General features: G+C 40.4%; 1 protein-coding gene across 4 annotated transcripts in view; it reads right to left on the bottom strand.

Moving 5' to 3' along the window:
• ESR1 (estrogen receptor 1) overlaps positions 1 to 16225 on the bottom strand; it is a 472948-nt gene extending 456723 nt beyond the window's left edge. For 2 of the 4 annotated variants that reach the window (NM_001385568.1, XM_017010380.2), the window contains exon 1: positions 16134 to 16225. The gene's annotated coding sequence lies outside the window, so the exon portion shown is untranslated. Of the gene's footprint in view, positions 1 to 6448 lie in introns of all 4 variants that reach the window. The other 2 variants (XM_017010377.2, XM_047418290.1) reach the window with 2 other exon arrangements.

Raw genomic sequence — 16717 nt, 5'->3', positions numbered from 1 at the left:
AGATCGTGCTACTGGACTCCAGCCTGGGTGACAGAGTGAGACTCCATCTCAAAAAAAAAAAAAAAAAAATTGATCATGAATTTGAGCACAAAGAATGTTAAAACATATTTTTAAAAAAGGTTTAGGGCGGGCATGGTGGCTCACGCCTGTAATCCCAGCACTCTGGGAGGCCGAGGTGGGTGGATCACCTGAGGTCAGGAGTTCAAGACCAGGATGGCCAACATGGTGAAACCTCGTCTCTATTAAAAATACAAAAAAATGACCTGGCGCAGTGGCTCACGCCTGTTATCCCAGCACTTTGGGAGGCCGAGGCAGGTGGATCACCTGAGGTCAGAAGTTTGAGACCAGCCTGGCCAACATGGCGAAACCCCGACTCTGCTAACAATACAAAAATTAGCTGGGCACGGTGGCATGTGCCTGTAATCCCAGCTACCTAGGAGGCTGAGGCAGGAGAATCGCTGGAACCTGGAAGGCAGAGGCTACAGTGAGCCAAGATGGTGCCACTGCACTCCAGCCTGGGCAACAGAGCAAGACTCCGTCTCAAAAAAAAAAAAATACAAATACAAAAAAATTAGCCTGGCATGGTGGTGTGTGCCTATAGTCCCCTCTCTTTTTTTTAATTGACAAATAAAAACCGCATATATTTTTGGGTACAATGTGGCATTTTGATACACACATACAATGTGAAATGATTAAATCAAGCTAATTAACATATCTACCACCTCACATACTTATCATTTTTTTGTGGTAAGAACTTCGAAGTTGTCCAGGTGCAGTGGCTCACGCCTGCAATCCCAGCGCTTTGGGAGGCCGAGGTGGGAGGACCGCTTGAGCCCAGGAGTCTGAGACCAGCCTGGGCAACATAGGGAGAACCTGTCTTTATTTATAAAAATTAAAATAATATTTTTTGAGAGTCTCACTCTGTCACCCAGGCTGGAGTGCAGTGCCATGATCTAGGCTCACTGCAACCTCCATCTCCTGGGTTCGAGCAATTCCCCTGTCTCAGCCTCCCATGTAGCTGGGATTACAGGCACCCACCACCATGCCTGGCCAATTTTTGTATTTTTAGTAGAGACGAGGTTTCACTATGTTGGCCAGGCTGATCTTGAACTCCTGACCTCAGGTGATCTGCCCATCTCGGCCTCCCAAAGTGCTGGGATTACAGGCATAAGCCACCACACCTGGCCTAAAATAAAAATTTTAAAAAGAACTTTTAAGTTCTACTGTCTCAGCAATTTTTAGGTATACAGTGCATCATTATTAACTACAGTCACCATGCTGCACAATAGGTCTCCAGAACTTACTCCTCCTATCTAACTAAAACTTTGTGCCCTTTGACCAATATCTCCCCTTTCTGCCGCATTCCATTTCCTCCCCAGCAACCCACCATTCTCCTCTCTGTGTCTACGAGTTCAACTTTTTTGGATTCCACATGTAAGTGAGATCATGCACAATTTGTCTTTCTGTGCCTGGCTCCTTTCACTTAGCACGATGTCCTCCAGGTTCATCTACGTTGTCACAAGTGATAGAATTTTCTTCTTGTTTAAGGCTGAATAGTATTCCACAGTGTATACATACCACATTTGCTTTATCCATTCATCTGTTGATGGACACTCAGGTCGATTCCATATCTTGACTATTGTGCATAATGCTACAGTGAACATGGGGGTGCAGAGAAACCTTTGACACTGATTTTATTTCCATTGAATATATACACCCAGAAGTTCACCCCTTCACTTTCTATGTATTATTTTACTTCATGATTTTCAGATAAAATTAAGTATGACTCAATTTCCTCTAACTCCTCTCCACTTCAAAATCTGTCTTCCGGCCAGGTGCAGTGGCTCATGCCTATAATCACAGCACTTTTGGAGGCCGAGGCAGGCAGATCACTTGGGGCCAGGAGTTCGAGACCAGCCTGGTCAACACGGTGAAACCCCATCTCTACTAAGAATACAAAATTATCCAGGTATGGTGTTGCAGGCCTGTAATCCCAGCTACTCGGGAAGCTGAGGCAGGAGAATTGCTTGAACCCGGGAGGCGGATATTGGAGTGAGCCGAGATTGCGCCACTGCACTCCAGCCTGGGCGACAAGAGTGAAACTCCGTCTCAAAAAAAAAAAAAAAAAAAAAAACGAAAACAAAAATTAGCTGGGTGTAACGGCGCAAGCCTGTAATCCCAGTTACTCAGGAGACTGAGCCATGAGAATCACTTGATTCCGGGAGGTGGAGGCTGCAGTGAGCCAAGATCGTGCCACTGCACTCCAGTCTGGGTGACAGAGCAAGACTGTCTCAAAAAAAAATTTTTTTTTAAGTGCCTTCTTCACCTAGACTTGCCTCCCACTTTTCTCACATATTACAGAAGGATGTATTCATTTATTTATTCAACAAACGTTTAACTGGGCTCCTACCATGTGCCAGGAGCCAAGGATACTGTGATGACCAGGCAAGAGGTCTCTGCTGTAATGAAGCTTATACGTTGGTGAAGAGAGGCAGGCAGTACACCAATAAATAAATAAACAAGGAATCACCAAGTGAAGATCAATGCCATGTAAAGATGGAAAAACGGGTAATGTAAGGAATGTTGAATGGCTACTTTGGACCTGACGGTCAGGGAAGGACTTCGGAATTTAAAGTGAGAGCTGGGTAAGACAACAGATTCAGCCAAGTAAGAAGCTGAGGGAAGGGCTCTGCAGGAAGATAGGCTAGCTAGAGGAAGGCCCGGCCACGACCATCTTGGCAGCTCTGAGAAAATGCAAGATGTGCAAATGGCAGCGGGGGAGAATGGAGGAGTTACGGCTAAAGAAACAGGCCAGAGGCTGGCCCTGGTGGCCTTTGGAGGACCAGGTAAAGAAAGTAGATGTTATTCGAAGTGCAAAGTGAGGCCATTTTTCCTCCCTCCAATACTAAGTTTTCCCCATGCACTTACTCCCGTACTTTTGTCGTGGATCTAAATTTGCCTCCAACAAATCTTCCGTGTCTTCCATTTCTTCCCTCTCCCATGTGTCCTTCTCCCCAATGCAAATGTGTTTTACAATCTCTCATCCATTATAAGAAAAACCTTGTGTTGATTCTGCTACTCACTCCACGTCTCATTTATACTCATCTGCACTAAATTTCTTTAAAAGTACCCTCGTGATAGCAAACACATAGACTGTTTATTACGGGCCAGGCTCTGTGCTGGGAGCTTTCTGTTTCTGAACTCCTTCCATCCTTCCAACAGCCCTACCAAGTGGTTACATCATGATCTCCATTTTACAGAAACTAAGACCACATAGTAACTTGCCCAAGGTAACTCAGCAAGCAAGTGCCAACCCCAAGATCCACATTGAAACACTCCAGCACCTGAGTCCCTGCCCTTCACCCTTGGTTCGGACTTGATACCCCACCTCCCCAGGTTGTGCTGTTGCTCTCTCACACTTTAGAATCAGGCTTTTGCCTCCTCAGGTTTCTTGAGCAGGTTTCATGAGCAGGTTTCTCGAGGACATCATTGTCCTTTACTCCTCCACCTTCCTCAAATTCTCTGTAGGCTTGTTATTGAATACTTTCTCCATGGTGGAATTCACCCCTCCTGTACTTCCTCAGAAGCTCACATTTAACCCCTCTCCCCACTCCCCCAACACTACCCCCTTTCCAGAAACCAGCAACCCCAGCCTGGGCCGCAATGCAGCTGCTTTCTCACTTGTTCTGTTCTCCCCTGGATTCCCATCTCTCTCTCTCTCTCTCTCTCTCTCTCTCTCTCTCTCTCTCCCAGCTCCCAAAGAGCTTCCTACCACTGTTGTGAGTCGCCCCGAAGCACGGCTCTGGCCAACAGCTTGCTCAGAAATCTGCAATGGTTTCACATTTCCTCTAGAGCAAAGTCCAGATGCCTTTAGCCTGGTCACAACCTGCCTTTCCAAATTAATTTGTCATGAGTCAGCTTCATGTAACCTGACATGAACCCTCACTATTCTCATAAATGCCAAGTGCTCTCCATTCTCCTTGCTCTTCTCTCTACCTGGAATGGCACCCCCAATCTCTAAGTGGCCAAATCCTGCCATGTTCAAAGGCCAAGTTCAAATGCCCTTTCTCTAATAAAGTAGTGTTTCTGCTCTTTTAAATCTTTAACAGGAAAACCAAATGGAGAGGACCCATAGGAAACCCAAGTGTCTGGCTTATCCCACTTCTATGGTTTGAATGTGCACCCTCCAAAACTCAGGAGTTGCCAGTGCGATAGTATTAACAGGCAGGGCTTTAAGAGGTGATTAGGCATGAGGGCCCTTCCCTCATGAATGAAATTAGGTGCCCTTATAAAGGGAACTGATAGAGTTTTTCTGGCCGGGTGCAGTGGCTCACGCCTGTAATCCCAACACTTTAGGAGGCCAAGGCAGGCAGATCACGAGGTCAGGAGATCAAGACCATCCTGGCTAACACGGTGAAACCCCGTCTCTACTAAAAAATACAAAAAATTAGCCAGGCATGGTGGCGGGCGGGCACCTGTAGTCCCAGCTACTCAGGAGGCTGAGGCAGGAGAATGGCATGAACCCAGGAGGCGGAGCTTGCAGTGAGCCAAGATCGAGCCACTGCACTCCAGCCTGGGTGACAGAGCGAGACTCTATCTCAAAAAAAAAGAAAAAAAAAGGGTTTTTCCTCTTTTGCCCTTCTACCTTCTGCCATATGAGGACACAGTGTTCCTGTCCTCTGGAGGCACCATGCATGAAGCAGAAACTGAACTTTCATCCGACAACCAATCTGCTGGTGCCTTGATCTTGGACTTCCTAGTCACCAGAACCACGAGAAATAAATTGTTTTGTAAATTACCCAGTCTCAGGTATTTTTTATAGCAGCACAGAATAGACTAAGACACTCACTTAACATCTTTGCTACATTTTCATGATGAATATGCCTTTCTTCCACAATCAGATTATATGATCCTTGGAGTCTGATTTTTCTCTTCATCTCTTTGGCATTTTGCCCATGAATGCACTTAATATTTGCTGGCTGATTAATATGTACATACAGCAATATATGAAATACACATAATTTCTCTCTTTCCTGGATGATTCTTCCTCCTCACTCTGAAGGAGGAGGCTTCTATCTGAAATCCCTTTGTAATGAACTTGCTGTGGCTCATCAGCATATTTTGATGTCCATAGTAGACTTATGAGCAACTCCTTCTTTCCATAGAAATGCTTTGTCGCTGTCTTCCTCTCCCTGCAAACAAGGACTGGGACTACCATCCATTGCACTCTCCTAGCCCAGTTCAAGATCCTGTATAAACAGTCTCCAGGCAGTCACAGTTTGGATGACAAGATCTTCAGGGTCTTTGCAAGCAACATCCCTGTCTTCTTGAGTTAAATCTTAAGTTCCTGGCATCAGGCAGGAAGCCATGTAGATACAAAATTATAGAAGACCTGTGCTGGAGGGGAGTCTTAGGTATCAAATAGACCAGCTCCCTCACAAATGGGGATCCTGAAGTCTGGAAAGTCAAAATGATTTGCCCAGTGCTTTAGGCTTTCAACAAATATTTAGTAATGTATTATGGGCAACTTTCACTGTGCTAGGTTCGAGGGCTACTGTGATGAAAAAGATAAGACCCTATAGTCCTGCATCCATGACATTGACTGTCTAGTGGGAAAAGAAACTAATAAAAAACAATTTTTAATAAAATGACAAGTGTTCTGATATGTAAAGTATTGGTGTCTATGGGAACATACAAACTCCATGTGGAAGTAAAGGATGGTCTACATAAAGAATGAGTAAAGACCATTCAACCCAAAGGAAGAAGGGAGGCTCTAGTTATCCAATGAGATCTGGGCCAGACAGCAAATCTATGAATTTCTGTCTGTCTCACTCTGTTTTTGACTCTAGCTCTGTTTTCTACTAATTCTCCTCTTCTAACTCTAATTTGCTATGACATTCAACTACCCTTCCATTTTCCCCACCTCTCTCCTCTCCTGCCTTCCCTTTCTCCTTTCTTCTCCTTCTAGCCCTTCCCACTCTGCTTGCCTTATGACCTCCATCTACTCACTTGAGCACTTAAGAACCTTCCACTATTTAACTCTGCTGGGTTTTGGTGCACTGAGAGTAAAAACAGAACCTTCGTCCTCCAACATGTGCATTCATGCATGCCTTCATTCGTTCTGCAACCCTTGCTGCCAACTATATGTTCCCTGGAGGAGGAGGAGGAGGAGGAGGAGGAGGAGGAGGAGGAGGAGGAGGGGGATGGGGAAGAGGCACCAATAGGGTGAGTAAGAACCCAGCCAAGTAGAGGTCTGCTTCTCAGTGAAGGTGCTCTGGCTGCAGAAACAGATGTGCTAAGGCCAGAAGCTCCAGTACTTTGAAGGAACAGAGAGCTCATAGAGTTAAATCAAGAAGAAAACTGCAGTGGACCCAGCAAGGTCAGTGGAGGCTGGATAGAGGAGACCAATGGCCCAGGAGCTGTGGGTACTTCTGTCATTCTTACTCACCAGGAACCTGAATTCCTTGGGTGGCCCTTCTACCAGAGAACAGGAACATGCACTTTTCCCTGTAGAAATGGTTGGGATTATTAGCAAGAAAATGTACTGTGAAGGTGTTAGTAGGATGATGGCTAAAGGAAGTGCGTGTGTCTCTCTCTCTCCACACCAACCACACAACTTTTTTTCCTCACCTCTAATAGCTGAAAAAGAGGGTCAGTGTCTGCACTCCTCTGGGCATGGAACTTGTTGAGTTTTTTAAAATATCTCCAAACCTAAGATTTAATTTTTCCAATGTAGCTTTTCTTCCCCTCTACAGCTTTAAATCAATTTCAGAATGCCAGTTACTTATGAAAGACACATTTCAACAATTTTCTATGAAGAGCCCAAAGAAAAGACACTGAAATTAGCCAATTTCTTCTGATCATGATAGTTGTGCTAATGGAATTTTTTCCCAATAATTTCTTAGTTTTTCAATGTAATTCTTTAGGCCCTGCCCAAGTAAAATGTAATTTTTAAGTGATACGAGGAAATAACCGTCTAAGAGATTTAGGCAAAATGAAATAAAATACCTAAAATGATTTGAGAACTAGAATGGTGCAAAATTCTTGTCTCTGTCTCTTCGAGGTAATAATTTGAGATAATGTCTCTATATTCCTAAGAGAAAATATAGTTGAAAATAAAACCATTTCTTAATATGCCATTCTGCTCTGGGAAAATGTAATAAAACATTGTATGTAAGTCATCTGAGGTGATTTAGAAATCATTGATTTTTGAAGTATTTGAAACCTTTTAAGTCTCGGCATGGGAAAGGGAGGGATGATGAATTCAGCGAAAAAAAAAGAAAAGAAAAGAAACAGAAGCTGTGGAGTGGAGTGGTGGAGAGAAAAGGGCTTGCCCAGATGGGAGGCTGTGCACACGTGGTCAAAATCTGCGGCTCCAGATTGACAGAGCTTCACTTGCTAGGATCTGGTGGCTTCCAGCTTTGGAGTTCTGGGCTTCTGAGTTCAGAGATCACGATCCTCTAACTGCATTGTCTCTTTAAAACAAAATCTCTCTGAGGCCAGTTTAACGATGAAATTAACAATGATTTAGAGGTCGTGACAAACACTTCTAAAAAACAAACCACTTAAAAAATCTGCGGACTGCATGAAGCTCAGGTTCAGGTCCAGTTCCTGTTACCCTGTGAATCCTCTGACCTTTCCCACCTCATTTTCTTGTTTAATGGAAGTCTCTCGAGCCAGGAAAATTAGAGAACTCCCAGGGCTTCAAGGCGACCATGCTAGGTGCAGCCGTTTGCAAAGAATATTAATTCTACCAATCCTAAACCACCCTCCACACACAGGCAAATGGAATTTTGGTGTTCACAAAACTTGATTTGATTTTTATCACTGCTATTTCTGTTCATGATACTAATAGTAATACTACAAAAAATATTTTAAGGACTACAAGTTTTTGGCAGTTAAAGCTGGCATGTTATCTACCTATTTAACAATTGGAGGCAGTAATTGGAAAAATACTTCATAAACCCAACTTGTCATAATAATAAAATTATGATGAGAGTTACCGTTTCAGTCTTTCATTCCTACCTCGTTCTCAATTCAGGAAGAAGAACAAGTTCTTTTAGAGGTGCTTAAAAGAAAGCAAGAAAAACACAGACACAATACATTTTTCTTAATTGACTTTCAGCTAAAACATCGAATGCTGTTTAGTGTGAAAAAGAAAAAAGTAGAACTTTACTCATGGAATAGGGAAATTTAGATTACTGTTTTCAAAACTTTAAGAAAACAGTGCACTCTGGGCTGAGAAAAACACTGTTAACGGTTTTCATCAGGCAGGTGCTGTGTGTATCAACGTGTTTGGGTGTTCAATCGTTGACCTTTATCAGATGGGCTGGAAAGTAGGGATTCTGGCAGGTCACTCTGTCGATATATCTGTGTCTGGTATTTTTCAGCCTAAAGAGAAATTGCCTTTTTGTGTTATCTAAAGCTTCATCCTCATTATATCCTGATATATTTTAAATGGTTATTTCTTAGTTATTTCTTCCATGATAGTTTTTCAATAAGCTACTGGGTTCTGTCACAGATAATAAACTAGAAATCATATCAGTATCAATGTTCAGTTCTTAATTTAAATTACTTGAAACTCTGGTAATGGTATCCTTGTTTATCTGCTTTTACAGAAGGCTGACCTTCTCCTAGTAACCTATAAAAGTAGAGTTCACTTCCATCAGGTGGTAATGTGAGTTTTCAGCCTGTCCTGTGATTTAAACACAGTTTTCTCCATGGAATCTATAATTTCTCAAGTCTAAGTCACCACTTCAGCCTTTTCTTTTTGACTTCTAAGTATGCTTACCTTTACTCATCTAGCAAGAATGTGATGTACCTGGGATGGCATCAAAGAATATAAAACAAAGGGCAGTGGAAACACTGCTAAAATGCATCCAAGATCCCTCATAGAAAGAACATCTTTAAACAACAGAGTCCGGGGCAGAGGGAATCAAAAACCAACACCACCAAAGGAAGCCGATACCAAATAATAGCACTTCAATAGGAAAATGACATGCTCAATGTTCCCTTTTGAATTAACTCATTTCACCTTTTTGTAGTTATTGTCTTATCCCTTCACTCTCAGGAACAACAGGTGCTTTGTTTTATACCATAGCCATAAAATAGGTACAATCAAAACTTGCAATGTGTGTTTCCCTTGCATTGTTCCTTAATTGTTCTATGTATAAGGTTTTTCCTCCAACAAGATTGTCATCTCCTTGAATATAAAGCCGTACTCTGTGGGGCCACTGTTAGCACCAAGCACAGTTCTGGGGACACAGTGAAAGCTCAGACAAAAAAAATGCATGATATTGAACAAAGCAAGAGAACACACCTAATTCCCATGTCTGTGATTGATTTGTTTCATAATCCAAAGAAAGTGCATTCATGCTTCAATTATTATGGGCAGTTAATGTTTAAAAAAATTGAAACAAAAGGTGCCAGCCCTTCTAAGAGAACTGTTTGAGTCAATGCTAGTCAAGTTCTTACTAAATGTACTGGGCAAAGTGCTGACAATAGGACTGCTTTCTAGAAATCTCAGTTGATCTCAGCAGAAAAAGAGATTTTGAAATAAAAGTGATGAATATATAAATATGAACATGATCCATATGAATGGGACTTTGAAGTACCAACCTACATGAAGCTCTATAGGCCATTAATTAATAAATTAGCTAATTTCTAAACCACCTCCTTACTGTAGTGGAGACAATCTCAGTGCCATTCCAGGCATTACACAAAACACCCTGTATTTGTTATCACATGCGATTAAATAATCACCAAAAAGAAAGCTGAGGCTCAAAGAGGTGAGCAACTGTATCCAAGAGCACTTAGCCAAATCCCACCTTACAAGAAACCAGCTCAAGCCCTCCATTTAACAGACTAGAATAATGACACAGATAACTTAAGTGGTTTATAATGAACTCAGGCTTAACTATTCCTGGAATCAGGTCTCCTGAGTTAGAGTTTAAGCATGCTTTCCACTACACAGAATAAACAGTGACTTAATTTACTAGCTGCACAAAAGTTTAACAAGAGTTTTCCAGACAAACATGGGAACGATCCACAATTTTTTCTTATAAACAAAATTCTTCGTTTAATACATGCTAAAGACTTCGAAAACTCTTCTTTGCCACTAATTCTGAAGAGAAACTAAGAAGCTAAGAAGCAGTGCAGTTGTAACTCAGCTCTGTCTCTCCCCTGTTCTCAGAAAGACGGGCAGAACCTCCCAGAACTTCCTCATGGTACATCTTCTCTTGCTGCTGCCACTTTCTCGCCTGTGGTCCTCTCTTCTCTTCATCTCACGCCCTGTGGATTTGCTGGTGCAGGGTTGAGGGATAATGAGGTAGAAAGAATTGGCAGCAGGAGTCCCGGGCAGTACAGCACAGACGCTGAGCTGGTCCCAAGACCCAGACAAACCTGGCTTTGAATCCTGATTCTTTCATTTCCCCACTACTGATTGGGGGCATGTTATTTAACCTCTATTTCCTCCCCCTTTAATAATGGTACCTGCCCCATTGGTTGGTATAAAGAGGAAAGGAAATGATCAGTTCTCAGTCAGTATTAACCATGATTATTTTCCAGAACTGGAAAATAAACCTATATTGTTGCACATAAACCAAATACAGGAAAAGAAATGATGAAACTTCGACTTCTGTGATAAGTGGCAAGAGAGTTTATAATCACCCTGTATATACAAGCAAGGCCATATCGATTGTGAAAATATCTAAATATTTTCACCAGTTGATAGAGTCACTAAGGTGAGTCTCTCGAGCGCCCTCCTGTGCCATCCCAGTGGCAGTGGCCCTTCTGCAGGACTGCCTCCTTTCACCTCACTCCAGCAATAGTTAATACATTCACACCTGGCAGAGTGGTGGCTGGATGGTGGGGGAGACACCAGGACCCTGCTGTGTGCCAATGGCACACCTTCTAATTGGTTTAGGTGCCTGAGACTTGGTAATTTATAAAGAAAAGAGGTTTAATTGACTCATATTTCCACATGGCTGGGAAGGCCTCAGGAAACTTAAAACAATCATGGCGGAAGGCAAAGGGGAAACAAGGCACGTCTTACATAGCAGCAGGAGAGAGAGGGAGAGAAAGGGAAACTGCCAAAGACTTTTAAACCATCAGCTCTCCTGAGAACTTACTCTCTGTCATGAGAACAGCATGGGAGAAACTGCACCCATGATCCAATCACTTCCCATCAGGTCGCTCCCTGGACATGTGGGGATCACAATTCAAGATAAGATTTGGGTAGGGACACAGAGCCAAACCATGTCAGTGCCCAAACAGGCCACAGAGCCAAAACTTATTGGTGCTCAAACAGGCTGTGCACATAACTATTTTGAATATTTGTTTGTGCTGGGAAAAATTATTTTGTGACATTCAGCAGTCTTAAGCACCAAAATAAATGCTATGCTCTTGAGAACAAAGTGAGGGCTTGTGGAACCTGTGCGTGCATTAGGAAACAAGACATAGGACTTCTTCCCCTGATTAGAAGCCACCCCTCACCAGGAGATGTACCTTAGGGAACAGAATGCAGGCTAAACTTTACCCTCCACTTGCCTCTCATCTGGACACCCTGGTGCAAAGCATGGCCTTATAGGCAATTGTCCACTTCCCACTTTCATCTCCTGGATATCAAAATACTACAAAATGGAAATGATACCAAGCTGCAAAATCTTTGTTAAGGAAATCCAACAAAGTTCTGGTTTTCCCCATGATATCCACATGGTGCTTTCAAAATACAAAATTGTAAGAATTTTCTAAATAATTGCATTACATTATTTTTTTAATTGTACTATAATTTTTAAAACAATCTTACCATTGTTGAGACACATCTCCTATTTTGTTTTGTGTCTATTGCACTCACTCTTTTATCGGTATCAGTATCCGTCAATTTTAACTTCACATTAGAATCAGCTGGGAAGCTTTTATTTACAAATACTGATGCCTGAGCCGAACCCCTAATCAATTAAATCAGAATATGTGGAAGTGGAGCCCAAGCATCAGCATATATTTTAAAGCTCCCCAGAGTATCTCGTGAGTGCGAAAGGTTTAAAAGCACTGTCCTACAAATGCTAGAGTCATTTAGAAATGAGGCAGTGTATTGGGGCTTACCAGTGTATGTGCACATATATGTGATATCTTTCTTTCTATTTATAAATATTTATTGTGAGTTAAATATACATACAAAAGAGTCTACATAACATATACGTATGCTTTAAAAAATAACAATAAGAAAAAGAACACCAAAATGTTGTCCACTCAGCCAAAGAGCTAGAAAATGCAAGTACTTCTAAACAAAATATTTTTGCCTCTGCCTGTTTCAAATTTTAATGGCTGGACTCCTACTGTATGTGTTCTGCTGAGACTTGGTATTTTGTGCTTAAAATTTTGATGAGTTTTACATATTTTTCATTTAACCCTCACAACAACCCCATGAATAAAGTTTTGCAGATGAAGAAACTGAGGTTTGAAAGGGCCAATAGTTTGACAAGAGTCACTTTCTAACAAGTGGCAGAAGTTGAGTTAGAACATAGAACTGTCCCTCTCAAAAGCTTAGCCACTGAACTATACTGAAACTAACCACTGTACTGAACTTACTGCAAAATCATGAAGAAGAAATAAAGTCACTGCCTCACAAAGTTAAGAGTTTAGGAACACAACTGTACCTTTTCCCATCGCCCAAACTCTGCTGTATTCACTGAAGTTACCAGCCCAAGTCTTACAATCCTGTGGAGTTATTAGGAATTTTACATTTTCCTATAGAAAGGATTTGTTCAATTCTCCTGCCAGATAAGCACATGTAATGAATGTCCATTCTGATTTCTTTGAAATTATTGAATTCTAAAGTGCTAATCTGATGACTATACAGACATATCTATTTTAAGGTGGACATAAAATGGACATACGGTAAGTGCTAGCAATTCCTGTGTTCTTTTTACCATATTAAATAAAGATATCTTTCACACAAGCAACTGTCAGTAGTAATGTTTTACTTTAAAGACTATTATGCCTAAGAGTTCCTTTTGTTTTTATACATTTTGCCCCCTTAATTTGGCTTTAATGATCAGTCATAATCTGCTATGAATTTTAGGGATAAACATTTGAATGAATGTGTACATCACATACATTCATTTTCTATTCTTTTTTCAGTTTAGTTGAAAGTCACACTGTAGACCTTTAGATTGTTGTTTTGAATAGAAGCTCTCAGTGAGACTGGAGTGTTATTAGAGAAGACATTGCCTGCTGAATTACTCCTATTAAGGGTCTAATTCCCAGACGGTACCCACAGTGAGGGAGTGGAACCTTCTTTCATGAGGCTGACTCATGGAATCCTATAGATAAATCGGAATGCCAATTCATTAGCATTCATTAGCCATGAGAAACTCAATGGTAAAAGGCTATGAGAAACTCAGTGCTAAAAAGGACTGGAGATTTGCATCATTGGACAATCAAATGGGAAACCACTTTATGAATGGAACTTTGCAGGAGGAACAATGGAACCAGAAGAGTGGGGAGCTCTTGGCTGACTCCCAGTAGGAAAGGCCTGCCACTGGGACTAGTCATCTCCTCTAATGGTCAATACTTGCCTTAGCAGGCCGGGCACAGTGGCTCACGCCTGTAATCCCAGCACTCTGGGAGGCTGAGGTGGGCGGATCACCTGAGGTCAGGAGTTTGACACCAGCCTGGCTAACATAGTGAAACACCATCTCTACTAAAAATACAAAATTAGCTGGGCATGGTGGCACATGACTGTAATCCCAGCTACTCAGGAGGCTGAGGCAGGAGAATCACTTGAACCCAGGAGGCGGAGGTTGCGGTGAGCCGAGATCACACTACTGCACTCCAGCCTGGGCAACAAGATCGAAACTCCATCTCAAAAACAAACGAGCAAAAAAACTTGCCTTAGCATATCTTGGTTTAGGCTCCCCGAGCTTCCTTCTTCTAAGCCTTAGACTGGCCATCTTCAGGAAAACCTGTTCTTGCTCATCTATGCCCACATGCAATATGATATTTAAAACCTGGATTTAGACTCAAACTTGGCTGCTTTACTAGCTTTGTGATCTTAGATATATGAATCTTCCAAGCCTCAGCTTCCTTATCTGTAAATAAGGAATAATACTCTCTTCCCTCAGGTGTGTGGAGGGATTAAATGAGATGATAACTTTGATACATTTAGAACAGTGCCCAGAATATAGAAGGTGCTAAGATATGATATCTCCTGTTATTTTTAAACAATAATGTTAAAAGCACATATTAATCCCAGAACTTAAAGTAAAATAAAAATAAACAAATAAATAAAAGCACATATTATTTATAAATATACACTTCATATTGGCATCCAACTATTATGTGGAATGGAAAACAAAATGATGATATTGACTCCATAAAATAAACAGCAGTCTTTAGAATAGAGTTTGGTGCATAAGTGGGAATCAACTATTTTTATTGAATGAGGAATATTAATGAGAATGATTTTAACAAAACAGCAAACAATAGCACTGGTGTGCTGTGTGTGAGTGAGGATAGCTCAGGAATACCAGAGGGGAAAAGGATTTCAGAATCAATAAGTACTTTCGTGAGCTATTTCACAAAAATGACATGAAAGAAAATATTTAGAGATACGGAAAAGGTCAAACTAACCTGAAACTCGGTTTTATTGACAAAAGTTTAAGTTACCTTTAGCATATTTCATCATCCCATAATCAGGACCATCAATAAATATTTACTGAGTGCCTACTGCAGTCAAGACACTGCAGTGTGGGCTGCAGTTAACGTCCAGGTGATGGGAGAATTGCTTAGAAGTACAAGGTACCTTTCTTGGATGGCTAAAATCTAATTGGAGAGTAAGGCATAGCATAAAAATAAATCTATAGAAGAAAAATCGTTAAACAAAACTAGCCTACAAAATTTTCCAATGTTTTTTGGGATGCACTTAGATGGTTTTAAATTTTAAAAATATTTTGAAACATAAAGCTTAAAAGAGTGAACAACTCTGGTCATCATACTTTTTTTTTGCCAGAACCTCACTAGAGGAAGATATTAGATTGGATGATATGAAAATGCCAATATATAACCATTTTTTACATCCAAAAAAACCCAAAATTTCATGTGGTTCAACCTTGATTTCAATAAGCTATTTTTGAAAGCTGGATACATATTGAAATATGTGTAACATTTGCAGTCCATCTACTCTGGACTCACGCTAATTCCTTCTGGGGCCTTTTCAGATTCAAGATAGATTTGCAGGAAAAAATGCATAATATTTAAACTAAGGGACTGGAAAATTAGCATGAAAAGTTCACCAGTGATATGGAAAATTTCACCCAATACATTTTGTAAAGAACAAAAACCTAAACACCCATGGTAGATCCACTTCAGTAAACCATGTTAGTACAGCAACATTATCCAACAATAAAATTTAAGAACAATTTTCTCCCTAAGGGACTCATTTTCCTTAGAAAATTATGCAAAGTGTGAACAACTGTGAAATACAATTGTTACCCAAAATATTTAACTTAACAATAGATTGAAAACTATTATAATGTAATGTAATTTACAATGACTAAAATTTTAATTTTAATGGTTAGTACCCATAAAAGTTATCTAGTTTAATTAATTTCCCTTTTTCATTGGTGCAGTGGGTCTTAAATGTATCTATATTTTGCTACATCTTTTTAAAACTTTAAATTCCCACACATTAAATTTCTCTACAACTGCCTATCTAAATCAGTTTTTAATGATAAAGACATATGATGCCCCTATATGAATAGACAGAGAAAAAACTAAAACAAACAAAAACTGTATTCCCCCTGTGTAAGATATAGACATTTATTATCATTGAAAAGTTGTTTGGCTAACTTTACAGTCCAAAAATTCTCCTAACTGGAAAGATTGTCATTATAAATTAAAATCTCCAAAAACCTCCACACCATGTATGAAGTCTTTGAAGGTATCAACCATTGTGCCCATATATATCCCACAGCCTTGTCTTGGTATCACCTTTTGAGACACAAATGTTCTTTCTATGGCATGTGCTTTTATCCTGATGTGTGAGGCCTTGGTCTGATAACCTCCTTACATAGTCATCTTAATATTCAGTTGTCCAAGGGAAAGTTAATAGAGTAGAAAAAATAAAAACTTACCTTCTTTGGTAGCTACAGAATATAATTCACAATCAAAAGGATTGGTATCAGATTTTGGAGATATTTGAGGCTCTGCGATTATTTCTCTGACTGCTTGGAACCTTAGAATCTACCAAAATAAAATCTATTAATCAAATATTTTTTTTGGACTAAGCTTACACAGTTTGTTCAAGCATTGGTAGCAAGTCTGGAAGAGTCATCTCTGCTTTCGGGAAAATTATGCTGACTGAAAGAAAGCACAGAACAATCGTCTCAAAACCGTCAGTAATTTTTCTAAAGGATGTCAAATGTGCACTTCACAGTGAGGGAAAATGTTGGCCAATACTGTTGTTTGTGATGAATACATCACATACTAGTGAAAATGTGGTGTAGCAGGTAGCAAGTTTCCATTCTGTGCACTGGAACTGAAAAACTGTACCTAGAAAGGGTATTCTGAAAAATACTAATTATATGGACAAAGCCTTAATATTCTTAATACAAAGAGCTCTTAAAAGTCTATTTTAAAACGGAACATGTGAACATAAAAACTAATAAAAGATTTACAAAGGACAAAATAATAGAGATCAGTAAACATAATTTTTAAA

This window comes from Homo sapiens, chromosome 6, assembly GCF_000001405.40.
Source record: "Homo sapiens chromosome 6, GRCh38.p14 Primary Assembly".
NCBI classification, from domain to species: domain Eukaryota; kingdom Metazoa; phylum Chordata; class Mammalia; order Primates; family Hominidae; genus Homo; species Homo sapiens.
Note: the sequence above shows the minus strand (reverse complement) of the source record. Positions and strands in the feature narration are given on the sequence as shown.